General features: G+C 43.2%; 2 long non-coding RNA genes and 1 other non-coding gene across 4 annotated transcripts in view; 2 read left to right on the top strand and 1 right to left on the bottom strand.

The window, feature by feature from the left end:
* LOC105370650 (uncharacterized) lies at positions 1-25,973 on the bottom strand. Of its 2 annotated transcripts, XR_944183.3 has the most exons (5): positions 25,771-25,973; positions 17,981-18,091; positions 6,916-6,983; positions 5,101-5,259; positions 1-238 (listed from the first exon to the last, which is right to left on the bottom strand). It is a non-coding gene; the product is annotated as an uncharacterized LOC105370650 (long non-coding RNA). The 2 variants fall into 2 exon arrangements; XR_001750867.2 differs by lacking the exon at positions 1-238 and having other exon boundaries at positions 5,178-5,259; positions 25,778-25,867.
* The window catches only part of LINC02291 (long intergenic non-protein coding RNA 2291), a 54,012-nt gene continuing 28,067 nt past the window's right edge, over positions 1,946-27,890 (top strand). The window contains exons 1-2 of the long non-coding RNA NR_033943.1: positions 1,946-2,245; positions 15,162-15,275. This is a non-coding gene — a long non-coding RNA (long intergenic non-protein coding RNA 2291). The remainder of the gene's footprint in view (positions 2,246-15,161; positions 15,276-27,890) is intronic.
* On the top strand, positions 22,695-27,780 carry LOC124903377 (uncharacterized). The gene is made up of 2 exons (XR_007064325.1): positions 22,695-27,125; positions 27,647-27,780. It is a non-coding gene; the product is annotated as an uncharacterized LOC124903377 (transcript).

The following is a 27,890-nucleotide window of genomic DNA, read 5'->3' as shown; positions in this document are numbered from 1 at the left end:
TCATTTTAGCATTATTTTTATTAAAATCACATTTCAACCTTGAACCATCAGGACCTTTCCCACTAGCCGGAAATGATTGGTGAGCCAGATGCTGGGTATAGAGTGTCACGAGGTTTCAAATTTGATGAGAGTGACTCCTCTCTGGAAGAATCGATGGTGACTCACAGGCTGGGAGGACTGCGGGAGCTGGGGAAGTGGGGGTCATGCTACCAGGCTGGGTCCCAAGAGCAGCAGAACCCTAGCACCGAGGAAACACAAAGGGCCAATCTCAGCATTACTGTTGTTAAGAGACATAATTCAAGTATTTTACACAAATCCAAAACAACTTTTTGAAACTTAGACTTTTTAATCTCACAGTGATTCAGTTTAGGACATGTAGCCTCATTGCAGAATCTTTTGGACCACAGGGGACATTATGACACAGGCTCATGTGTCCATAAGGGAGTGTGGTGTGCTGATCAACATGAGGAGTGACAGTCTTGTGGCAGTGATGCAATCTTGGGCATGGTGGCTCATGTCTGTAATCCTAGCATGTGGAGAGGCTGAGGTGGGAGGATTGCTTGAAACCAGGAGTTCAAGACCAACCTAGGCAACCTAGGCAACAAAGAAGACCTCTGTCTCTACAAAAATTATACAACAATAATTAGCTGGTCATGGTGGTGCATGCCTGTGTCCCAGCTACTCAGGAGATCTAGGTGGGAGGACTACTTAAGCCCAGAAGTTTGAGGCTGCATTCAGCTATGATCATGCCACTTCACTCCAGTCTGAGCCATAGAATGAGACTCCATCTCTTAAAAACAAAAACCAAACAAAACATGTGAGTAGTGTGGGCGCTGCTAACTCTTTCTACACAGGTGACCTCTTCACTAACAATGTACTTATCCCCAAGTGAAATTAGGGTGATTTTGAGACGGAGTCTCACTCTGTCATCAGGCTGGAGTGCAGTGGTGCAACCTTGGCTCACTGCAATCTCCGCCTCCCAAGTTCAAGCGATTCTCCTGTCTCAGCCTCCCGAGTAGCTGGGATTACAGGCCTGCAACACCACACCCAGCTAATTTTTGTATTTTTAGTGGAGATGGGGTTTCACCATGTTGGCCAGGATGGCCTCGATCTTCTGACCTCATGATTCGCCCACCTTGGCCTCCCAAAGTGCTGGGATTACAGGTGTGAGCCACCACGCCCGGCCTTTCCGGTTTTTTTAACGCCACCCAGTTTGTGAAACTCTGTATGACATCCTTAGCAAAGGGATATAGGCATATACTGAATGATTAACTGCTAACAGGGAAGGCCTTCATTGGGTTGGGAATCCCCAACATTAACATGACAGGTAGTAAAAGCTCCCTCTTTAAAAGGACCAGGGGAGAGTAGAGCTTATTGATCAGGAGCTGAGCTTTTGAAACCAGACTGCCTGCTTTGTCTTCCTTCTCTGCCTCTTTCTTTCTATGTGTCTGGTGCCTCAGTTTCCTGATCTATTCAATGGGGGACATGCTAATATCTAAAGGGTTGCAGGGAAGAGTAAATTATGTTTCACAAGTACCCGCATAATGCGTGGCACTAGTAAGCGGTCAATAAATGCTAGCTCTCATTACCAAGCTTGTCTTCCTTTGAGTTTTTGCAGTGAAAACTGTTCTCTGCTTGGTAGAATTTGCCCGCAGGCCCCCATGTGACAGAGGCTCTTACAAAAGAGTTTGTTTACATGCATCAAGTTACCAACATTTTCCAAGAAATTAGGGTGTTGACCAATACAATCTCATTGAGATGGGGTTATGAGAGTGGTCCCTAATTCAGTATGACTGTATTCTTATAGAAAGAAGGGAATTTGAAGGCAGACACACACAGGAAGGGGAACACATTTAGAAGATAGAGATACAGATTAGATTTGTGCAATGGCAAGCCAAGAAATACCAACGGTTGATGACGCTATGGTGTGAAGATTTGTCTCCTCCAAAACTCATGTTGAAATGTAATCCCCAAGGTAGCAGTATGGAGAGGTAGAGCCTTGAAGAGGTGATTGGTCTGCCCTCATGAATGGATTAATCCATTGATGGATCAATGGGTTAATGGATTATCATAGGAGGGGAACGGGTGGCTTTATATTAGGAGGAAGAGATACCTGGGCTAACATGCTCCACTTCCTCATCATGTGATGTCCTGTGCTACCATGAGACTCTACAGAGTTCCCAGCAGCAAGAAGGCCCTGAGCAGATATGGCCCTCTGACCTTGGACTTCTCAGCCTCCGTGACTGTAAGAAATACATGCCTTTTCTTTTTAAATTACCCAGTTTCAGGTATCCTGTTGCAAGCAACAGAAAAACGACTAAGATATCTGGTAACAACTGGAAGTAAAGAGAGAAAGCATGGCCCTGCCAAGACCTTGCCTTCTGACTTCCACCCTCTAGAACTATGGGAGAGGAAATTGCTGTTGTTTTGAGCCACCCAGTTTATGACCTACTTTGTTATGGCTGCCCTAGGAAGCTAATGCATTCTCAAACTTCTGTCTCCTTTGACAAGCAGGTAAACCAAATTCCTAACAAAAGGCCACGGGGAAGCCTGCATCTAGCAGTTTTATAAGAACAATAGGGGCAGGATCCAAACTGGAAGGTAACAAAGGGGTAGCTGAGGAGGAAGTGGCTACAGAGTAGACTTTTGTTTTAAGGTCCTTAGGAAAAATATTTAATTTCTCTAAGTCTCAGTTTTCTCATCCCTAGCATGGAGATAACAACAGCACATAGGTTTGTGGTTAAGCAAAATGAATGAGTGATTGCCTGTTAAGTGCTAAGCACCAGGCAGGAAAACAAATAAGCAGTCTCACATTAAATAAATGGAAACAATATTTTAAAGATGTAAATGCTTAATATACGTTGCAGATTTAAATGGCTTCTATTAATATGTTCAGTAGTTCACCCTTTCTTAGTCAGCACTAGGGGTGTGTTCTGGAAGAAAAGGACACCATTCCTGCTATTCAGAAGTTAATAGATGAATGCAGTCACTGCTTCTGCTACTAATAACAATCCTACCTCCCTAAGTATGGAAAAGGCAACCCAGAGAGCTGACTTAGGATGAGAACATCAATTGGCCACCTATCAAAAAGGCGGACAGCCCAACTTCTGAGCTGTGAATCTGACTATTCTGTGATGAAAACAGAATAGAAATAGACAATAAGAACCTAAAATTAAGATATTTTTCAAATCAAAAGTGAAAAAAGAGATAAGGAAAGTATTTTTTAATTGGAAAGCATTATTATTTAAAAGCATTGTCAGAAAGAATTAGGGAGTGGAGAAGCTGTTCAGCCAAGATCAAGGGTTTGCATACATGACTCTTTAATCACACAGGTTTTGAGAGAGTCATAAAATATTTACAGTGCAGAAGCCACTGGACAATGCCTAAGACAAAATCTAATTGTATCCTCAAGCCAAAGAGTCACCACTTGATGATGGGACCCCGCAGGGCCCAGAAACAGGGCTCCGATGCCCACGTTAGTGTGTGCCCATTGTGTCCTGTTGCCCCTAGGTCCAGGGCTCACCAAATTCCTCAAGAAAGGTCCAGGTTCAGGGATTCCACTTTCCCCATGGCATCCAACTCTCCCACCTTCCAGCTGGCCCTAGAATCTGCCATCTTTCTTGTCTATATACTACATCATGATTTTTCAGAGTTGCTTGCAAAGTGTATATAAATATCACATAGCACACAGTTCAGAGGGTTTGGCTGGTGACTGAGCTGTACCTGAAGAGACCCAGAATCTGGGGAGGTAGGACATGCCCCTCTCACGTTGTGCTCTCAGGCTTTGTGACCTCACCCATCTCCCCACTGATACTCTGAGCCCTTTAAAGGATAGCCTCTCACCTCTATATCCAGCACTTTCTGCGGGTCTGGTTCAATGAATATTCATAAATGAATGCACAGAATTTGAATGAATATGTAAGTGGTGGGGGTAAAAAATACCTAGAGAGGAAAGACTAGTTTGGGATATAGAAGACGTCATTCATAGGGTGACACATGAGTGGATCCTGAGGATGCTGAAGAGTTCCCTAAGCAAGGGAAGTGGGGCAGCCTTGGAGACGGAAAAGCATTGTATGCAGGGCTGCTCCTCGCTCTGCTGAGGAAGGGTGAGAAGTTCAGGCTCCTGAGGAGTAAGGGGCAGGCATGGATTTGCCTGAGACAAGCCCGGATATTAGATCTGCCTGGACCAGGAATGAAAGGGCCTCCCTGTTGGAGAACCTGGGATCTCTCTGGAGGGAGGCTGAGCATGAAGGATGGATCTGGGGAACAGGATGACAGTAACTGATTTGAGGTATAGAAAAACCACAAGTGGGTTACCAGTAGATGGAGGACAGCAGGCCAGGAAATCAAGAGACTAGGTGAAAAATGAGAGTCTTGACCCAAGAGGGTGAACTTTGGACAGAAGGGGGAAGGGGTCTAAAAGGCATTTTCCAGACACAATTTTTGACTCACATGGGAAGTGAGGAAAAGGTTTTAACCTCACAGTCTGGGCAGATAATGATGCTCATTTTTGAGACAGGTGGTACTAAAGACGACAAAGCAGAGAGGGGAGCTGAGGATTCATTCTGGATTTGTCAAGTTCAAGTCACCAGAGGGACATCCCAGTGAGAATATCCTACTCAAGGGCTTTAAATTATAAAGTTAGAGCTTTAGGATTCAACAATACCTGTAAAGAAGATCTGCAGGTCATCATGGAACCATGACTATATTTCAGTATTGCTTTGAATAAAGGGATGCTGACGTTGTGCACTGGAGCTTACCATGTGAAAATCAATTTTCCACACTTTGGAGTTCACAACGCACATTCACAACCTTCCCCTCATTAACATCCCTACCGCCACCACCATCCCTGCTTATGGCATAGACGACCAAGATTAGAAATATGTTTTAGCCAATCTGAGAATGACCAAAGTAGGCAGGTTGTTCTAGGATCACGTAACTAAAAGCAGTGCCTCTTGGACTGATGGATGGTCTCAAGTCCAGTTTCAATCTCTTCCCATCCTAGTGTTTTGACCATTTAATCTACTATATGCTAAGCTTTAAAACTCCCATGAGATGTGTTGGTGGAGTCCCTAATGCAAAGGGCATTGGATACCTTACCTGAGCACAGCTCAGAAGAGAAGCTGGAGATTGTAGGTGTGGGGCTGTCAAAGCCATCTCTGCAGACAGAGGGAAGGCTGAGTGAGAGTATCTTCAGGGGCAACACAAGATCTCTGTGCATCTGAATAGGGTGAAGCAGGGACTGGAGGCATCTGAAAGCTGAATGCATGTGCATTAGAACTAGACTTGAGTTCAAGTCCTGGCTTCAGCACTTATTTATTTATTTATTTATTTATTTATTTTATTTTATTTTATTTTATTTTTCTTTTTTTGAGACGGAGTTTTGCTCTTGTTGCCAGGCTGGAGGGCAATGGCGCCATCTCTGCTCACTGCACCTCTGCCTTCCAGGTTCAAGCAATTCTTCTGCCTCAGCCTCCTGAGTAGCTGGGGTTACGGGCACCTGCCACCACACCCGGCTAATTTTTGTATTGTTGGCCAGGCTGGTCTCAAACTCCTGACCTCAGGTGATCCACCCACCTCGGTCTTGGTTAAATGGGAGGATTGGTGGATCTTGACTGCTGGGCTGTTACACAAACAAAGTGTGATTCTGCACATGGACACTGCACCATACTGACTGGTATTGGTAAGTGTTTAGTAAATTCATGTGGTCAGATGGGGAAAGCCAGTTTGTCCATATTCTTTGTCATAGAATTGCTTTCTCAAGGGTCTTGCCCTTTCTTGTGCCCTTGAAGACACAGGGCTTTGCACCAGATGCCTGACAGCTAGTAAATGTTCAAGAAAAGAAAAACAATCCCAGGCAGTAAATCAAAGGATAGTTTCTAATAAGAGAAACAACAGAACAAAGAATACAGGAAACATTTGAAAGATCCGGAACCATAACATAAAATAACAGTGTGTCTGGACCTATAAATAATAACGTGTGCTATGGGGGAGAAATGGTTCCCTTTTGATAGGTTTGTAAAACCAGATGAAGGAAGCAGAGGAACACGTGAACTTCCATCTCTTGAAACTGGCACTCACCAAAGGAATGCAGATGAGCTCAGTTACCCAGCTATAACGTGCATTGAGAAACAGCCTAAATGTAATAAAATTGATGGTGCCTAATTGTCCAGGGGTTTAGTCCACAGGGTACAAAGTGGGAAGGGTGTGGTCTGATTCTGCAGGACCATTAATTAATTGAGAGCAGGTTAATGAGGTTTGCCAAGAATATCCTAAATCATAATGGCCTGGGAGCACGATCAAAGTGAAAAGCATAATACAGGGAACTCATCAAAACTAGAATTATGAGTTAAAAATGAGATGCAGCTTGGAAATAATGCAAACAAAAGTATCTGGAGAAAAATGATCAGAAACAACCAGAGAATGCAGTAGGGGGCTCCAGCAAGAAAAGCAATGGAAATGCAAAGACAGTAACAGATTAAATATAGGAAGAAAAGAATGGACTGCATAAGCTGGAAAAGGTTAAAGGAATGAGCAGTCTGCTGCCAAGTATAACTGTTATGAACCCAGGAAGGTGTGGCTCTGCCTTTCTAGCTGGTTGCATCTCAGAGGAAGATGGAGGTGATGGTTGTGGATATGAAGAGGTCCTAATACATAGGATCTGCGTTAGCTCCAGTAACCTTGAACTTGCTACTTGCACTCCTCATGCCTCAGTGTCTTTCCCTGCAAAGCTCAAATAAAAATAACAACCACCTCCATCCTACAGGGTTCTTGTGAGGAATAGATGACTAAAGATGGGAAAAAATTGAAAATTGTAATTGAAAATTGTAAAGGTTTTGCAAACAACAGTCATGGGTTCAAACAAACCAAACTAATAAAAAAAGTTCTATAGATGCATTGACTTCATTGATTTACCTGTCAAAGTGAGATTTTTTTAGTCTTCTGGAGTCTTCCTGTGGAGTGAGAATTAAATTTGTTGATACCTGTGAAATATGTATAATATATCATACATACATATGTATACAAGAAATATACAAAATGACATTTCACATATATACATGAAATAATAACATATATTTCACATGACATGTATAGAAAAGTATCTGGCAATAGAAAATGTTTGAGACATGTTATTGACTTTTCCACAATGTGTCAGTTCTTCTTTGTAAATCAGTTTCTCTCACTAGAATGCACTAGAATGTGCACTCCTTGAGGGTCAAAGCCACCTTATCTATGCTTTATATTTCAGCACAAAACACTGTGTTTGACACCCAGAGATATCTGTGATTGAAAGGGCAACAATGATAATGACACTTAATATTTATTAATGCTGACTTTGCATGAGGGATTATGTTAGCTGCTTTACCTTTCTTAATTATCATGAAATCATTTGAATTAGGTATTATCATGTGTCTTATTTTACTTATGAAGAAGCAGGTACAGAGAAGTGACATGAAATTCCTAAATTACACAGTAAGAGGTGGAGCAGAGATGGAGTCCATGCCAGGCTTTGTACCACACCAGTCTGGTCTTCTCACACTAAAAAGGAAGGAATAGAAGCATGGATGAACAAGTGAATGAAGGAATGGAAGCATGAGTGAATGAGTGAGTGGCAGGACAATTATCTAACATATTGTAGCGATGGATAATGTTGACATATGCACAGAACTCAACTCCCAGGAAGCTAGCTGGGAAAGTGTGCTCCTTGGATCCTCTCACAGTTTTCTTGGGCCTCATTTGAATTTCTTTCTATATATATATATTTTAAGTTCTGGGATACATGTGCAGAACACATAGGTTTGTTACATAGGTATAGATGTGCCATGGTGGTTTGATGCACCCATCAACCTGTCATCTTCATTAGGTATTTCTCCTAATGTTATCCCTTCCCTAGCCCCCTACTCCCTGACAGGCCCCAATGTGTGATGTTCCCCTCCCTGTGTCCATGTGTTCTCATTGTTCAACTCCCACTTATGAGTGAGAACATGTGGTGTTTGGTCTTTTGTTCCTGTGTTAGTTTGTTGAGAATGATCATTTCCACTTTCACCCATGTCCCTGCAAAGGACAGAAGCTCATCCTTTTTATGGCTGCATAGTGTTCCATAGTGTATATGTGCCACATTTTCTTTACCTCGTCTATCATCGATAGGCATTTGGGTTGTTTCCTAGTCTTTGCTATTGTGAATAGTGCTGCAATAGACATATGTGTGCATGTGTCTTTATAGTAGAATGATTTGTAAATCTTTGGGTATATACCCAGTAATGGGATTGCTGGGTCAAATGGTATTTCTGGTTCTAGACCCTTGAGGATTTGCCACACTGTCTTCAATAATGGTTGAACTAATTTACACTCTCACCAACAGTGTAAGTGTCCCTATTTCTCCACATCCTCTCCAGCATCTGTTGTTTCCTGACATTTTAATGATCACCATTATAACTGGCATGAGTTGGTATCTCATTGTGGTTTTGATTTGCATTTCTCTAGTGACCAGTGATGATGAGCTTTTTTTCATATGTTTGTTGGCTGCACAAATATTTTCTTTTGAGAAGTGTCTGTTCATATCCTTTGCCCCCTTTTTGATGGGGTTGTTTTTTTTCTTGTCAATTTGTTTAAGTTCCTTATAGATTCTGGATATTAGCCCTTTGTCAAATGGATAGATTGCAAAACTTTTCTCCCATTCTGTATGTTGCCTGTTCACTCTGATGATAGTTTCCTTTGCTGTGCAGAAGCTCTTTAATTTAATTAGATCCCATTTGTCAATTTTGGCTTTTATTGCCATTGCTTTTGGTGTTTTAGTCAGGAAGTCTTTGCCCATGCCTATGTCCTGAATGGTATTGCCTAGGTTTTCTTCTAGGGTTTTTATGTTTTTAGGTTTTACATTTAAGTCTTTAATCCATCTTGAGTTAATTTTTGTAAAAGATGTAAGGAAGGGGTCCAGTTTCGGTTTTCTGCATATGGCTAGCCAGTTTTCTCAACACTATGTATTAAATAGGGAATCCTTTCTGCATTGCTTGTTTTTGTCAGGTTTGTCAAAGATCAGATGGTTGTAGATGTGTGGCATTATTTCTGAGGCCTCTGTTCTATTTCTTTGGTCTATATATCTCTTTTGGTACCAGTACCATGCTGCTTTGGTTACTGTAGCCTCGTAGCATAGTTTGAAGACAGGTAGCGTGATGCCTCCAGCTTTGTTCTTTTTGCTTAGGATTGTCTTGGCTATGCAGGCTCTTTTTTATTTCCATATGAAATTTAAAGTAGTTTTTTTCCAATTCTGTGAAGAAAGTCAATGGTAGCTTGATGGGGATAGCATTAAATCTATAAATTACTTTGGGCAGTATGACAATTTTCACAATATTGATTCTTCCTATCCATGAGGATGGAATGTTTGTCTATTTGTTTGTGTCCTCTCTTATTGAGCAGTGGTTTGTAGTTCTCCTTCAAGAGGTTCTTCATGTCCCTTTTAAGTTGTATTCCTAGGTATTTTATTCTCTTTGCAGCAATTGTGAATGGGAGTTCACTCATAATTTGGATCTCTATTATTGGTGTATAGGAATGCTTGTGATTTTTGCACATTGATTTTGTATCCTGAGACTGCTGAAGTTGCTTATCAGCTTAAGGAGATTTTAGGCTGAGATGATGGGGTTTTCTAAATATACAATCATCTCATCTGCAAACAGAGACAATTTGACTTGCTCTCTTCCTGTCTGAATACCCTTTATTTCTTTCTCTTTCCTGATTTCCCTGGCCAATACTGTGTTGAATAAGAATGGTGAGAGAAGGCATCCTTGTCTTGTGCTGGTTTTCAAAGGGAATGCTTCTCAGCTTTTGACCATTCAGTATGATATTGCCTGTGGGTTTGTCATAAATAGCTCTTATTATTTTGAGATACATTTTATCAATACCTAGTTTATTGAGAATTTTTATCATGAAGTGGTGTTGACTTTTACCGAAGGCCCTTTCTGCATCTATTAAGATAATCATTTGGTTTTTATCATTGGTTCTGTTTATGTGCTGAATTACGTTTATTGATTCATGTAAGTTGAGCCAGCCTTGCATCCCAGGGATGAAGCTGACTTGATCATGGTGGATAAGCTTTTTGATATGCTGCTGGATTCAGTTTGCCAGTATTTTATTGAGGATTTTCACATCGACGTTCATCAGGGATATTGGCCTGAAATTATCTTTTTTTGTTGTGCCTCTGCTGTGAATCTGTCTGGTCCTGGGCTTTTGTTGGTTGGTAGGCTATTAATTACTGCCTCAATTTCAGAACTTGTTATTGGTCTATTCAGGGATTCAACTTTTTCCTGGTTTAGTCTTGGGAGAGTGTATGTGTCCAGGAGTTTTGGTATCAGGATGATGCTTGCCTCATAAAACGAGTTATGGAGGAGTCCCTCTTTTTCTATTGTTTGGAATAGTTTCAGAAGGAATGGTACCAGCTCCTCTTTGTACCTCTGGTAGAATTCGGCTGTGAATCTGTCTAGTCCTGGGCTTTTGTTGGTTGGTCAGCTATTAATTACTGCCTTAATTTCAGAACTTGTTATTGGTCTATTCAGGGATTCAAGTTCTTCCTGGTTTAGTCTTGGGAGGGTGTATGTGTCCAGGAGTTTATCCATTTCTTCTAGATTTTCTAGCTTATTTGCATATAGGTGTTCATAGTATTCTCTGATGGTAGTTTGTATTTCTGTAGGATCAGTGGTGATATCCCCTTTATCACTTTTTATTGTGTCTATTTGATTCTTCTTTCTTTTCTTCTTCATTAGTCTGGCTACCAGTCTATCTATCTTGTTTATCTTTTCAAAAAACCAGCTTCTGGATTCATTGATTTTTTTGGAGGGTTTTTTGTGTCTATCTCCTTCATTTCTGCTCTGATCTTAGTTATTTCTTGCCTTCTGCTATCTTTTGAATTTGTTTGCTCTTGCTTGTCTAGTTCTTTTAATTGTGATGTTAGAGTGTCGATTTTAGATCTTTCCTGCTTTCTCCTGTGGGCATTTAGTGCTATAAATTTCCCTCTAAACACTGCTTTAGCTGTGCCCCAGAGATTCTGGTACGTTGTGTCTTTGTTCTCATTGGTTTCAAAGAACTTACTTATTTCTGCCATAATTTCATTATTTACCCAGTAGTCGTTCAGGAGCAGATTGTTCAGTTTCCATGTAGTTGTGTGGTTTTGAGTGAGTTTCTTAATCCTGAGTTCTAATTTGATTGCACTGTGGTCTGAGAGACTGTTTTTTATTATTTCCATTCTTTTGCATTTGCTGAGGACTGTTTTACTTCCAATTATGTGGTCAATTTTAGAATAAGTGCAATGTGGCACTGAGAAGAATGTATGCTCTGTTGATCTGGGGTGGAGAGTTCTGCAGATGTCTATTAGTTCCATTTGATCCAGAGCTGAGTTCAAGTCCTGAATATCCTTGTTAATTTTCTGTCTCATTGATCTGTCTAATATTGACAGTGGGGTGTTAAAGTCTCCCATTAGTATTGTGTGGGAGTCTAAGTCCCTTTGTAGGTCTCTAAGAACTTGCTTTATGAATCTGAGTGCTCCTGTATTGGGTGCATATATATTTAGGATAGTTATCTCTTCTTGTTGCATTGATTCCTTTATGATTATATGATGCCCTTGTTTGTCTTTTTTGATCTTTGTTAGTTTAAAGTCTGTTTTGTCAGAGACTAGGATTGCAACTCCTGATTTCTTTTCTTTTTCTTTCTTTTTTTTTTGTTTGCTTTCCATTTGCTTAGTAAAATTTCCTCTGTCTCTTTATTTTGAGTCTATGTGTGTCTTTGCATGTGAGATGGGTCTCCTGAATACAGCACACCAATGGGTCTTGATTCTTTATCCAATTTGCCAGTCTGTGTCTTTTAATTGGGGAAATTAGCCCATTTAGATTTAAGGTTAATATTGTTATATATGAATCTGATCCTGTCATTATGATGCTAGCTGGTTATTTTGCCTGTTCGTTGATGTAGTTTCTTCATAGTATTGATAGTCTTTAGAATTTGGTATATTTTTGCAGTGGCTGGTACCAGTTTTTACTTTCTATATTTAGTGCTTCCTTCAAGAGCTTGTAAGACAGGCCTGGTGGTGACAAAATCTCTCAGCATTTTGCTTGTCTGTAAATGATTTTATTTCTCCTTCACTTATGAAGCTTAGTTTGACTGGATCTGAAATTCTGGGTTGAAAATTCTTTTCTTTAAGAATGTTGAATATTGGCCCCCACTCTCTTCTGGCTTATAGGGTTTCTGCAGAGAGATCTGCTGTTAGTCTGATGGGCTTCCCTTTGTGGGTAACCAGACCTTTCTTTCTGGCTGCCCTTAACATTTTTTCCTTCATTTCAACCTTGGTGAATCTGATGATTATGTGTATTGGGGTTGCTCTTCTTGAGGAGTGTCTTTGTGGTGTTCTCTGTATTTCCTGAATTTGAATGTTGGCCTGTCTTGCTAGGCTGGGAAAGTTCTGGATAATATCCTGAAGAGTGTTTTCCAACTTGGTTCCGTTCTCTCCGTCACTTTCAGGTACACCAATCGTAGGTAGATTTGGTCTTATCACACAGTCCCATATTTCTTGGAGGCTTTGTTCATTCCTTTTCATTCTTCTTTCTGTAATCTTGTCTTCATGCTTTATTTCATTAAGTTGATCTTCAGTCTCTGATGTCCTTTCTTCCACTTGATTCATTTGGCTATTGATACCTGTGTATGCTTCACAAAGTTCTCATGCTGTGTTTTTCAGCTCCATCAGGTCATTTATGTTCTCTAAACTGGTTATTCTAGTTATCAATTCGTCTAACCTTTTTTCAAGGTTCTTAGCTTCCTTGCATTGGGTTAGAACACGCTCCTTTAGCTTAGAGGAGTTTGCTATTACCCACCTTCTGAAGCCTACTTCTGTCAATTCATCAAACTCATTCTCTGTCCATTTTTGTTCCCTTGCTGGCAAGGAGTTGTGATCCATTGGAGAAGAAGAGGCATTCTGGATTTTGGAATTTTCAGCCTTTTGGCACTGTTTTTTTTTCTCATCTTGAGTGGATGTCCTTTTTGTTGATGTTGATGCTATTCCTTTATGTTTGTTAGTTTTCCTTCTAACAGTCAGGCCCCTCTGCTGCACATCTGCTGGAGTTTGCTAGAAACCTGTTTGCCTGGGTATCATCAGCGGAGGCTGCAGAACAGCTAAGATTGCTGCCTGTTCCTTTCTCTGGAAGCTTCGTCCTAGAGGGGCCTTCACAAGTTGCCAGCCAGAGCTCTCCTGTATGAGGTGTCTGTTGACCCCTGCTGGGAGGTGTCTCCCAGTCAGGAGGCATGGGGGTCAGGGACCCACTTGAGGAGGCAGTCTGTCCCTTAGCAGAGCTCGAGCACTGTGCTGTGAGATCCTCTGCTGTCTTCAGAGCCGGCAGGCAGGAATGTTTAAGTCTGCTGAACCTGTGCCCACAGCCGCCCCTTCCCCAAGGTGCTCTGCCCCAGGGAGATGGGGGTTTTATCTATAAGCTCCTGACTGGGGCTGCTGCCTTTCTTTCAGAGATGCTCTGCCCAGAGAGGAGGAATCTAGAGAGGAAGTCTGGCCTCAGCAGCTTTGCAGAGATACAGTGGGCTCTGCCCATTTCAAACTTCCCTGTGGCTTTTTTTACACTGTGAGGGGAAAACGCCTACTCAAGCCTCAGTAATGGTGGATCCCCCTCCACCCCTCGACCCCACCAAGCTCGAACATCCCAGGTCGACTTCAGACAGCTGTGCTGGCAGAGAGAATTTCAAGCCAGTGTATCATAGCTTGCTGGGCTCTGTGGGGGTGAGATCCATGGAGCAAGACTGCTTGGTCCCATGGCTTCAGACCCCTTTCCAAGGGATTGAATGGTTCTGTCTCACTGACGTTCCAGGGACCACTAGATTATGAAAAAATAAACTCCTGCAGCTAGCTCGGTGTCTGCTTAAATGGCCGCCCAGTTTTGTGCTTGAAACCCAGGCCCTGGTGATGTAGGCACCTGAGGAAATCTCCTGGTCTGCGGGTTGCGAAGACCATGGGAAAAGCATAGTATCTGGGCTGGAGTGCACTGTTCCTCATGGCACAGTCCCTCATGGTGTCCCTTGGCTAGGGGAGGGAGTTCCTCTACCCCTTGTGCTTCCCTGGTGAGGTGACACCCCACCCACCTTTGGCTCACCCTCTGTGGGCTGCACCCACTGTCTGACCAGTCCCAATGAGCTGGATACCTCAGTTGGAAATGCAGAAATCACCTGCCTTCTGCATTGATCTTGCTGACAGCTACAGACCAAAGCTGTTCCTTTTTGGACATCTTGCCATCCACTCCTTCATTTGAATTTCTGACACATCAAAACCCTTTTTCCTTCTTCCTTAGAAATCAGCCCCCTGGATGCATTCCAGAAATGATACTGAAATCTCTTTAATGTAGGGGTGATTTCATTAGAACGATCTGAGTCAGGCTTATTTTACTGTGAGCTGTTCCACGGTTGAGTTTGGTGAAATCAAATTATTACAGAAAGTTTAATGAATGCGATAGCAAGAATCACTTTGCACAGTACAGAACACAGCCCCTCTGAGCCTTCCTGGTTTCAGAAACTACTTAATGCTAGCAAAAATGTGATAACACTCACTCTGATGCCCAGTCTATGCAGCTACCATCAGTACCCACCATGGCCCAGCACTGAGCTCATTGTTTCTATTTATTATTTCCATCTGGCCACAAAACTACATTTTAAGGCTAAGAAGCCTAAGCCAAGCATTTTATTAGCTCATATCCCAGCCTAGCATCCAGATCTAATTTCTCCTTTTCTCGGACATCCCTGCAGTCAGAGCCTTGCTCTAAGCAAGCAACCTTTGTCCATCATTTATTGTCTGTTTCAGATTATAAGTTTGGGGCTACTGCTGTTTCTGGTTGTCAAATGTTAACACCTCTGAAACTGCGCCTCATTAAACTTTTAATATCCTGCCATGGCCTCCCCTTTGGGGCTGATCTTTAACTCTCAGAGGCTTATAGAAATGTATACATTTAATAGTCCTATCACTTTCAAAATGCAAAGGAGTTAATGCAACTTATTTTCTCTGTTATTTATGTCTGGGTTTTTTGTTTGTTTGTTTGTTTGTTTGTTTTATTACACCGTATGGTTTAATGCACCATATGGTTGCCTTTTACAATGGGTCAATCATGACTCTTTACAATGTCTTTCAGAAGCCACTGAGACAGTGGTGGGGCAGCCACCTTCTCGTTCTTCTTCTTCTTCCTGCTTTCCCTCAGAGATGGACTCTTAATAAGATATCTCAGAAGCTGGACTGGCCTAACTGGGTGAGTGCCTCTGCTCTGCTGTGCCCTAAACTCTGCCCATTTGACTTTCATTTGCCCCCATTAGATCCTGCTGCTGATCTAGAATGATTTGAAATTCTGGGCAGAGTCTCTGGAGATCAAGCCCAAGGCTAACCTTGATGGTGGCTGCCTCATGTGCTTCTGAAGGCTTCCTTTTGCATCTTCCCAAGTTGTCGCCCTTTTCCCAAATCCTACACTGCAATCTTATAACTTCGCTCAAGCCCTGTATGGTAGCCCTTGAACTTCTTTTACTGTAGCGGGTTCCCATTGTAAGCAGGGGGTGGTCTCTTGGGTCTTGGCATCTAGGCAGGGCCTGGGGCTGCCAGAGGGAGAGCCATGTCACCTGAGAGTCTTTTTACTTATTGCCCATCTCCTTCCTGCCCCACATTCTATCATCTAACTGGAGGCCACCCACCCAGAAGCAGCTCTCCCCTCCTGAATGCCCGTCCATTTGCCTGGGTCCTCTTCATGGACTACCCACAGGTGTCCCATCCTCAGGGTCTTCCTGCCAACCAAGTCCTACTCAAGACCCAACCCCTAGTCATGGCTATCTTCTTGTCACTGGCCTGTGCCACCTGTCACCACTTCCAGACACACAGCTGCCCACCTGGTAGAAGACTCTTCCTGATCTCCAGCTGGCTCTGCCTCCAAACACCAGCCTGCTTCTGGTGGCTATTTTTCCTCAGCCCCTCTCTGTCCTGCCTCTCTCACAGCCTTCCCAGCTCCTCTTCTGACAGCTGTTTGAGAAGGATACCCTCTCAAACCCTGAAGGGCACAAGCGCTCTCTTTGTGTGCCCTAAAGTCCTAAAAGAAAGACCCCTCCTATATCTCAATTGGGGGGAATGTACACTATTTGGAACCTGCCCCATCATTACATCTGATCTAGAAGCCCTGACTGCTAACAGACCTTAGGAAAAGGGAGTTACCTCAAGACTACAAGATAACAGAGTGCTGTATTTCCCTATTCCACCTCTGACCATCATCACCATCTTAGAGGTTCTTTATGGCATCTTGCAAATACACTCATGATTAAAACAGAATGGAGAAACCACATCAATGTCTAATGCATGATCATTAGACCTTTGATTTTAGACTGCCGTGTCAGGTATGGAAAGGAAGGGTCGTCGTGTTTCCTCTGTGGTGTCAGAAGGGGCCTGCATTATGATAAACATTTCCAGACACCAGATTTACTTCCACCGCACCTGGTCCTGTGCTTGACACATCATAAGGGCTTTTGGATGTTGGCTGAAATGGGTTTCAAGTAACGGGAGGCAGGGTAAACATATTCAGAGAGAGACACACAAAGAAAGGCAGAGTGAGATGAGTTGTCCAGGCTTTGGCTAAGAGGGAGGGAATGTTGCCTCAGTGTCTTCAGGAGTTTAGAAGCAAGTCATTGAGCAGTGCTGACCTCCTAGGAAGAGGTGAACCTGGAAAGTAGTAAGAATGCCACTCAGAGACCAAAGGCCATCACTGTTAGTTGGTAAGAAGGCGCATTCATTTCCTAGGATTGCTGTAACCAACAGCTACAAACTGGGTGCCTGAAAACAATCAGAATTCATTGTCTGGCAGCTGGGGAGAGAAGTCTGAAATCAAGGTGTCCACAGGATTGGTACTATTGGAGGCTGAGGGATCTGCCCCACCCCTCTCTGCTAGTAGCTGCTGGTTTTCTGGCTGTCTGTAGCATTTCCACCTTGTGGACTCATCTCCCATCTTCACACAGCATTCCCTGCATCTGTCTTTATATCGCCTGCCCTCTGAACGAGCATGTCTCTGTGTCCAAATGTCCCTCTCCTTATGAGAACACCAGCCAGTGGATTAGAGCCTACCTATGCTAATCCAATAAGTCTTATCTTCATTTGTTTACACCTCAAAGATTCTATTTCCAAATCAACTCACATTCTGCAGTTCTGGTTGGACATAAACATTTGAGGAAACACTATTCAATTCAGTACAGAAGAGGGCCAAGTTTGAGTGGAGTCTTAAGGACACCTTAAGTTTCTTTTTTTTTAGAGGAAGTCTCGCTCTGTCACCCAGGCTGGAGTGCAGTGGCCTGATCTCCGCTCACTGCAAGCTCCTCCTCCTGGGTTCATGCCATTCTCCTGCCTCAGCCTCCCGAGTAGCTGAGACTACAGGCGCCCGCCACCACGCCTGGCTCATTATTTTTGTATTTTTAGTAAAGACGCCGTTTCACTGTGTTAGCCAGGATGGTCTCAATCTCCTGACCTCTTGATCTGCCCGCCTTGGCCTCCCAAAGTGCTGGGATTACAGGCGTGAGCCACCGCTCCTGGCCAGGACATCTTCAGTTTCTAAAGGAACATCAAGGACAAGACACAGCATCAAATCCCATAGCCGACAGAGAGGATGAAAGAGGGTGTTGTCTCAAGCCCTGGGGCAGAAGAACAGGCCAGGCCGAACAGATGGGACACGTTTGAATCTAAAGTTGCAAATTCCTCAATAAGTTATACAGATCACACTAATTTACCTCCATATGCAACGAAGTCGGAATCAACATTTCAGGTCCTGAGGGAATCTTTGCTAACATGACGACTTTAATGAGCCGGGAGTCAGGGGTTATTTTAATGAGAATATAAAAAAAAATACGTTCGCCAATGTTTCAATGTTTTGTTCTCTAACCAAAAGCAAACAAGCACACAAGCAAAACTGAATGGAAGGTGGGAAGGTGTTACCTTAAACTGTGGGGAAGGCTGTCATAGCTGTGTTTTCCCCACCATCCACGTCCACGCTCAGCTGTCAGCCCTGCCTCAAAAGTGGAGAGTCCAGGTTCCATTACTTCTCAGCTAGTGTCCAAAAAAGAATGTTAATTGTGAAATGAATATAATTGTTCTAAGTCACTATTCTGAGACTAACAAAAGAAATCAGGAATGGTGAGTGTGACACCAGGCTTTCCTGGAGGGATGCTGACAGATTCTAGAGACTTCTCTCTCCTCTCCCTGCAGCACACAGCACATGCGCAGAGCCAATCCCTGTGCATCGACTGCACATCCTGCTTGGCAAGAGAAGTGGAGGAGGGTGGGGCCACGTGTCTGCAGAAATGGGAGGGCTGACAGAATCAGTGTTCTAGAGGGTCCTCAGAGCTCATCCCCTGTGCATTAATAAACACTCTCCCATCACTGAGGGCAATCCCCATCCTTCTCCCTGACCTCCACCAAGATCCTGCATGTCCAGTTCCTTCCTATTACCACTTAAGGAACTGCAGGTCATTTCTCCCAGCCGATTAGCAGTCAAGAGTGTGGATTTGATTCTGGAATCAAAACACAGCACAGGCCAGGCACTGTGGCTTACTCCTGTAACCCCAGCACTTTGAAAGGCCAAGGTTGGAGGATCACTTGAGCCCATGAGACAAGCCTGGACAACTCATAGCAAGACTCCATCTCTATAAGACATAGAACTAAAAAAAAAAGAAAAATTAGCTGAGCATGGTGACAACATACCTGTTGTCCCAGCTACTGGAGAGGCTGAGGCAAGAGGATCACTTGAACCCTGGAAGTAAAGGCTGTAGTGAGCCATGTTTGCACCACTACACTCCTGCCTGGGTGGCAATGAGAACTTGTCTCAAAAAAAGAAAAAAAAAAAAGCACACAGCACAGGTGCTCTGACATTTAGCAGCTAAGTGACCTGGGCCTATTCACTCATACTGTTGCCTCAGTTTTCTCATGTGTAAAGTGCAAGAATAATGATAGTTTATGCCCAAATTCTGATGATAACATATTTCAGAACAAGGAAAATACTGTAATTTCAATTTTTCAGTCTAGAAAACTGAAACACAAAGAGGTTGGATAGGTGGGCCACTGGCCTTCTGAGGACTGATCCTTCTCACAGGACCATTTTCCTCATCCTTTAACTAGAATGGCCTCGTGTCTGCAAATGTCTTTTGTATGAACATTCAAAATTAATTCTAAAAACATTGCCTCTGGCGCTGCCTTTGTGTGCTAAATTACAGCCCATCATTACTCTGCAAATAAGAACACAACACCCGCCAGCTTGAGCTTCCTATAGGAACAGTTCTACAACATGACAGAAATAGTCCAAAGACTCTCTCCATATGCACAGAGGTAACACGTGGCAGAGCTGGGATTTGAACCTACAAAGTCTGAGTCCAGGGCCCTGGCTCTAATTATTACCTCTTTGGGACTGTCAGCAGCCTGGGGATCAGAGTCACTGCATCACTCTCTCATATCTCTAATGCCTATCCTTTAAGAAGCATGGATACACACTTATTGAATGAGTGAATGCAATTGTCATAATATATCATCTCATATCATCTTACATCAGTTTTATCAGGACAGGACCATGCACAAACATGGACAATAATTTTCCTTTAGGAAAAAGAAATCTTACATAATTTATCTTTTCTGCCCAGAGCCTAGCCTACCAAGGTCATAAGTATATTTGGAAGGTGGTCAGTATATATTTGTTGAATGGCTGAATGACTGCACAGTTTGTGTTAGTTTATGTTGATGGGTAGATTAGTTTGTTAGGGCTTCCATAACAAAATACTATACACTGGGCAACTTAAACAACAGAAATTTATTTTCTCACATTTCTGGAGGCTAGAAGTCCAAGATTAAGGTATTGGCAGGGTTGGGAAAGCTTTCATCTTCATAAGATAGTCAAGTTTTAAACTTGGGAGGTAGGCATGTTATTCTCATTTGCTGGACATGAACACTGAGGCTCAGAGAGACGGGGGCGCTGACTTGAAGTCAGGCATCTGGGACATCAACATGAGTCTTCAGACCTTGCAGTGCGACCCTCCTCTCTCTCCAGGGACACCTATGTTCATCTTTTCCTTGGGATGCTTAATCAATAAATATTTATTGAGTACCTTGTTCATGCGATACATAGTTTTAGGCTCCTATGATTCCGCAGTGAACAAAGAAAATTCCCTGTGCCGTGGAAGGAAAGTTTGTCTGGCTAAGGCTCAGGCCCAACTATGGGTCTGACTAAGATTTGTAGGCTAAGATGCGGGAGAAAAAGAAACTGGAAATAAGTGGTGCACTTTTTCAGTTTTGCTGAAATTGCTTCATCAGATGCTTCAAACATCATTTCTTCTCTATGGGGAGGATGAAGAGGGAATTTTAGCATCAGTTGGGAAGTAATGAGTTCAAGAAGCTGGAATTTAGGTAAGGCGCTTTCAGGTACTTCTTCCTCTGCCTTACTTTTTATCTTTGGCAATGTCAAACTCATTAGAATCCCAATACCTGCTGCACTAGTTAGAATAGACTATACTAGGCTCCAGTCATAACGTAAACCTCAGCATCTCAATGGCTTAACCCAACTCTTATGCACATTGGGAGACTCTCCAAGGAAAATGTCCTCCATGCAGTGACTCAGTGATCCAGGCTGCTGTGATCTCCATATGTGGCCTCCATGAGTGGAGTAGCAGGGGGTAGAGGGTTGAGATTTTCACATCAGCTTGTAAATGCTGGAGCCTGGAAGTGAAACACAACACTTCTACTTGCAACCTATTGGCTAGAAATAGTCCCATGGCCCTGCCTACCTACAAAGGGAAGCATCTGACTTTTCAGTGACTAGTAAATACTTCTGCCATCACCCCAACCTCTGCTTCTCCCCAGTGCCTTCTCTCTTCAGTTTCCTCTCTCTGGCATATTCCCTGCATTCCTGGGCTAAATCCTAGTCATCCTGCGAGATTCAGCCTATGCAACAAGTCTTCAAAGAAGTTTTCAATGAACCTCCAGTTTTGCTGGGAAGCTCTTTAGGTGCCCATAATAGCCCATGTTTGTCTCTATCAACTCCAAAACACTGCTTTGCAATGCTCTATTCACATATATATCTTCCCTATCAGATTGCAACTGTTAACACTGAAATGTAACAGTATCCCGCATCAAGTAGGTATTCACTAAATGCTTGTTGAATGAATACATGAATGCTATTGACTGCTTAGAATTGCTTATACAAGAACAAATTAAATAAGTTCCAAACTTAAGGCTGGATTGTGGATTCAATTGAGAAAGCAGTCACCTTACTGGTAGTTTCACATCCTAATCACATTTCCAGGTAAAAAAATCATCATTGCTCTTTATTAAAAATACAGAAAAACACGTGCTGCTTAACTGGTGCATAATTTTTCCAGGACTAGGTTGCAACTTAATTTTCTAAAACTTACTCATGCCATACAAACATGTACACACATGTACTTGGACAAGCATACCTACACACATGCAGAGACATCCTAACACCGTGCATACATGCAACACTCTAGCTAAACAGGTAATGTGCTCACCTCCAAAATAGACCAAGAGAGCTCTACCCCTATACCTTGGTCTGTTTTGCCACCTCTGCCAGGAAGGCCATTCTATCTGTCCCTTTTGGGTTCAAATCTGTCTGTCTGTCCCTTGGGTTCAAATACTTTGAAACCAAGGTTTTTTTCTGATTCATTTTGCAGAGTTCTTTTCTTTCATGGAGAGATGGAAATAGCCTGATGTGAAACAAAGGACACAGGATTGGAATTAGGCAACTCGTGGTGTATGTCTAAGTTCCACACCCAATTATGACCTTACTATGACCTTCTAAAACAAGTCACTGCATCCTCTAAATGTCCTCAATGTATAAGCCTCATTGTCCTCATACATAAAATGGAATCTCATGGCCTGCCAGGCAATGTTATTGGCTAAGTACCTGATGCTTAGTGGACATGCAATAAAGTGTGGGGTGCTTGCTACACATCGGCTTAGCAGGTGCATGTTTTGTACTGGTGGATGCATGACACAGTGGTGTTTAACAGATTCTGAAACCTTAGAAGCAGGACGAAGAGACAGCTTTAAGGTCAGCAACTAAAGGGAACTTACATACCTTATACAAATTCCTTTAGGACTAGCTTTCTTGCTGGCTTGAATGGGGAGTCAGCAATGCAGAAAGAAACCTAAATTTTCTCTCTCCTGTATTAGTCAGGGTTCTCTAGAGGGAAAGACCTAATAAGATAGATGTATAATATATATGAAAGAGAGTTTATTAGGGAGTATTGACTCACACGATCACAAGGTGAAATTCTACAATAGACTATCTGCAAGCTGAGGAGGAAGGAAGCCAGCCCAAGTTCCAAAACCTCAAAAGTAAGGAAGCTGACAGTGCAGCCTTCAGTCTGTGTCCAAAGGCCTGAGAGCCCGTGGTAAATCACTGGTGTCAGTCCAAGAGTCCAAAAGCTGAAGAACTTGGAGTCCAATGTTCGAGGGCAGGAAGCATCCAGCATGGGAGAAACATGAAGGCCAGAAAACTCAACGAGTCTGCTCACTCTACTTTCTTCTGCATGCTTCATCCTAGCCACGCTGGCAGCTGATTAGATGGTGCCCACCCAGATGGTGAGTGGGTCTGCCTTTCCCAGTCCACTGACTCAAATGTTAATCTCTTTTGGTAACACCCTCACAGACACACCTAAGAAGAATAGTTTGCATCCTTCAATCCAATTAAGTTGCCACTCCGTATTAACCATCACATCTCCTGAACTGAAATAAGCAAATAGGCCCGAAATAAACTACTTTTCTCAAAACTGGAAAGGTAGGTGTAGGTTTTACCATGAGTCAGGGTGTAGTTAGTAACCAGAATCAGGCTGATGTCCATAGGCTTCAAATTGCCTTTAGTGGCACTTACGGAGGAGGAAGAGTGTTAACAACAACCAAAGCAAAAATAGTAAGAAAGACTAAAGAAATAAACCAGCATCATATGAACGAACCCACTTGGTCCTGGTTTCTAGCTGTCTCAGAAAGGGCCAAAGTAAGCATCGACAGAGTGTAAGAAAAGTGAATAAACTCTGGAATCCAGATAATGCTGGTTCTAGCATGGACTGAGTATGTGGCCTTGTGAAAAAATGACTTAAGTCCTGTTTCTTCATCTGCAAGGTAAAGAGCTCTCCTTTCCGTGGGCTGTTGCACCTGGAAGTGTTTTGTGGATGCTTCACACACACTAGGGTGTCAGTGTGCATGCGTACTCCCCAGTTCAGTGAGTGCTGGTGCACAGGACAGTGGAAGTGGCCTTAGGATGACTTCGGGAGTTTTTTCTAACTGAAAGGTTCTACTTTAGTCCACAGTGCATTAGGAAAAAGCTCCTTCTGTCATACTGGTGGGTGCCTTGGCAGTGACAATATTCTCCTACAAATAGGGTGGCCATTAAATGTATTGTTCATACAGGGACAGTTTAGATAATAAAAGTGAGGAGGAGGACAGGTTACTAATGATCGCACTGACACAAAAAGCAAATGGCTGTGTGGTCATCCTCACTAAAGAGATGTAAAATGATCAATGCAGAGTCTTCCCCCAAACTCACACTGCCACCGCATCTCCTGCCCCAAGAACCTTCTCTATTGCAGCTGATTCACCTCATCAAAGCCACAGTAGGTACCCCTGAGCCAAGCCTGCCAGCACCCACCATGACCTTCATTAGAGTCCTTTCCCATTCTGTTATGACTGGCTGTTCCTCTGCCTTGCCCACTAGGCTCTAAGCTCCGTAAGGTCACTTCTTGTGTCCCTGAACACTCTTGTCCTTAGCACAGGGTTTAGGAGCTGGTACACAGGGATATTCCCAAATTGGGAGGATTTGCCATTTATGCTTTTTACCCTGCCTTTACCAAACACGTATGAGAAAGGACTGAAGGTAAATTGAAATTTTTTATGACTTTCAAATAGTCTCAAAGGTGCACAAGCAGTCATGTATCCAAGCAGTTGTGATCAGTGCTGGGGACACTATGATGACTGTGTCACCATTCCTGCTGCTAAGGAATCCAGAGTCCTATAAAGGAAATACCTACAGGAAGTCGATAAGAGCAGATAGAAGCCTGGGATAGGGTGGTAGAGTAGGGTGGTGACACATAAACAGATTGGGGTGTGCTTTGAAGGTAAAACCAGCAGGACTCACTGATGGACCAGATGAGGGAGTTTACGGGAAGAGAAGAGACAAGTTTAACTTCCAGATTTGGGGCCTGATCAAACAGGCACACGGTGGAGCCATGGGCCAAGATGGGGAAGAACTGACATGAGACAGGCTTGGGAGAAGAAGTATGGTCACGGGAGGGAATCAAGAGTTTTGTTTTGGCCACGTTAGGTTGGAGATGGTCCATCAGCCAACCAAATGCAGATGCGAGGCATGCCCATGGGATGTGTCTGGAGCTCAGAGAAGAGATCCTTCTATATGCCAGGCCCTAGCAACATGCCTACAATGTCATCTGCTCTAGTTTAAGCCACACCTAGCTAATTTTAGTTCCCCACCATTTCATGTTATCATCTTCAGGCCTTTATACAGTCCTTGCTTTCTGAAGGCTTTTAAGTCTCAGAGGAGGCATTGCCTTTTCCAGGCAGCCTTCTCTGAGGCCCTAGGTTTAGTCATATGCCCTTACTTGGTGGCCTCACAAGACGCCACGCTTGGCTTCTCTGGCATTTATCAAACTAAAATGTAATTGTCTGCTTCTCTATTTTTTTCATTCCATGTCAAGTGTCTTGGGAGTAGAACTGTCTTCTCTCCCTGCCTCTCTATAAACAAATGTAAGACATGGCAATGTGGAGATGGTCTGAGAATGTCTGCTGAATGAATGAGCATGACCAGCACAGGGGTGAGGGATGTAGAGACAAGTCGCCACCACGTGGAATCTCTTTAACTTAAATCACATGTGTCAAGAACCGCTCTTGTCATGAAAAGCAGGCCTGTGTCAACCAAATTTCCAATACATATGGATTACGACTTTTCCAGTCAAAGTAATTCAGAGACCATGATAAATTAGAGGTTGATAAAAGGCTCCAGTTCAAGATTTATGGCTCTTCCAGAATTCTTTCAAGTTTTCCCAAACATATAGAGACTGGCCTCTCTCCTGTAGCTGAAACATCTGACTCTGGTTAGGACACTGTCCTCTGGGAGTGAGCCATATCGTGCAGTGCACAGTCCTGGCCCTGGGAAGCTGGCGGTGGCCCTGGAAGGGGGATGTTCTTAAACATTGGTCCTGCTTGTCCCCTGTGCCCTGGATTCTTGACCAGCTGGGCCTATAGCCCAGAAAGTTAGGACCTTGGCTGTGACATTTCTGGGGACTTTCTGAGATCCCCAGGAGTTTTGCCTAGCAGAAAAACAAATATGTGTGCGTGTGTGTGTGTGTGCGTGTGTGTATGTTTTGAGGTTGCTAATCCATAAGCTGCAGCTAATGTCATCTATCTTACAGAAGCAACACAAGAATTTGCAATAAAGTTTATAAAGAACCAAGGCCAGGATGATCTCTCTTCTCTGCAAGTAGTAACTATGTGAGGTTGATAAAGTTGCTTTGGGTCTGAACTTGACCTGTGATTCTAAATTCTATCAGTAGTTTATAAATCCTATCAATAGTTCTTGAGTACCTGCCATGTGTTAGGCACTGTCCTCATTTCTGGACAAACAGAAGTCAACAGGATCACCATACTTGTTGCTTTGGTGTGGTTGATATACCATTGAGGGATGGGGAAACAGACAGTAAATATCAAGCACATACCACTTACGTGAATTCCTTAAGAGAGGTGAGTGCTGTGGAACATGAGCCAAGGTGTGGTGGTAGACAATGGCAAGTGATGAGGTCACAGATGTAGGAGGCAGCTTCCTGAGGGCAACTAAACATCTGAGCTGAAGCCAAATGATGAGAGGGGGCCATCCAATTGCAGACCTCAGAAAGGAGCAGCTCGGGGAGAGGGAAGAGCTGGTAGGACTGTGATGATGATGACAATGAGAGGGAGGAAGCCTGTTTATGAGCACATACACAAATTCATCCATTCATCTATCTGTCAATCCAATCATTCCTTGAATGAGCTCATACCAATCCTGTAACTCTCGTCCTCTGTCCCAGGCTTTCTGACTCAGACCCGTTTCTTGCTCTTAAAAACTTTGTAACCTCATGAAGAAACCACAGCCAGGTAAATATTCTTCTATTTTGTTCCATTTTGCTCTTCTGTGGTCATTGGTCTGATTTTTGGCCTTAAGTGACACTCTTTTACCTCCAGCTGCTGCTGTCTTTCACATGTATGTTCCTCTCACTTCAATAGCATGCTAAGTAGCAAAACCCAAAACCCTCCTCAATCAATCTTCAATCCCTATGCAGGGACTGCTGACAAAGACACTTGTACATAACAGCCTCTAAGTATAACGTCTACATCCACTTCCATTCCAGGTCATAATTATGTGGTTCCAAGTACCTGGTTCAGCTGCACGTTTCATCTGGGCTCAGGTTCCTTCTTTATTTACCCCACACATAGGCACTGGGTTTGAAGAGGGCTGAGGTTTAGACGGTGGGCTTTGTCCTTAGGAACATTTAGGCAGTGACCTTGTTACATGTTTCTGACTTAGTAGGTGCAAGTCCCTTTTGCACACTTCGCCAAGCCAAACATCTTCTAGGTCTTCCCAGGGCTTAGAACCATATATCAAATCTTGTTGGTAAGGCCCTCAAATTCTTCCTGGGTCATGGGAAAGATGGAATCACATCTCAAATTATCCCCTTTTTTTTATAAAGTGCTCTCACATACAGCATGTCATCTGACCTTCACTGCATTCTTGAAGATAGATCAATGCATCCCCATTTTATTCCGAAGACCACTAAATTTCCAGGAGGCAGAAGTCGGAGTGGGAAGTGGACAGAGATCTAAAACACTTGAGATAACTTGAGTACCTGTGCTCATCTGGCTGGGTGCCACAGGATTTCATCCAGAGACTTTGTAAAACAGTGATCATGAAGCCCATTTTCCAAGTATTTATTAATTGTCCAAGATTTCAAGGAGTAGAGTCAAGACATTAAACAAAGACTTTAGGCTTTAGTCGACGGCATTTTCTGCTACAAGATGTGGCTCGTGTCCTTCTAAGGTAAGCCCGATGGGCCATTCCAGATGTGGTGGTGGGTGGGAGGCCAGCAGGGGATGGTGAGGAATGTTTCCCCACCCCTTAGTGGAATATCAACCACACCAAAGCAGCTTCCCTTCTGTGGCCCGGGCACTCACGGACACTCTTGCAGATGTACTAAAGAGAGAAAAGCCCTCAGTTTATTTTAGAATCATAGATCAAATTCAGACCAAAAGCATAAATGCTTCATGAAGATTCCAGGAAAACGTACCTTTGCCCCACATGTCAGAACTAAGGAAACTTATAGATCAAATGATCTCAAGCACTTTACCAACAGTAATACACAGAAATCAACTCAAGAAGGTTCTTCCCAAGTCCCTTCCATCACCTGGCTATCTCCCACTCATCTTTTAGGACTCAGCTTACCCATAGCCTCCTCTATGAAACCCTGCCCCATATGAGTCAAATGTCCTCTGCTGGATGACTTCAAAACATTATCACACTGCATTTTTAAAAATTGCTTATATGTTGGTCTCTTCCATTAGACCTGAAACTCTTCTGAAACAGAATGTATGTGAATATCTTTGGAGCCCAACTCAGTGCCTGGCATCAAGCAGATTCAACAGAGGCCGAAATACCGTGAAATGAGTGTTTAAATAAAGTAGCATTTGCCACAGTAGGTTCTGTGACTTGTTAGAAGGTGTCAAGTGACAAACGCGGTTCCATATTCCAAGATCTTTGGAAAAGCTCAGATGAAACCCAGGTTCTTTGAGAACTTCTCAGAGCCTC

Source organism: Homo sapiens, chromosome 14 (genome assembly GCF_000001405.40).
Source record: "Homo sapiens chromosome 14, GRCh38.p14 Primary Assembly".
Classification (NCBI taxonomy): Eukaryota; Metazoa; Chordata; class Mammalia; order Primates; family Hominidae; genus Homo; species Homo sapiens.
The sequence above is the reverse complement of the archived record's forward strand: the minus strand, read 5'-3'. Positions and strand labels throughout refer to the sequence as shown.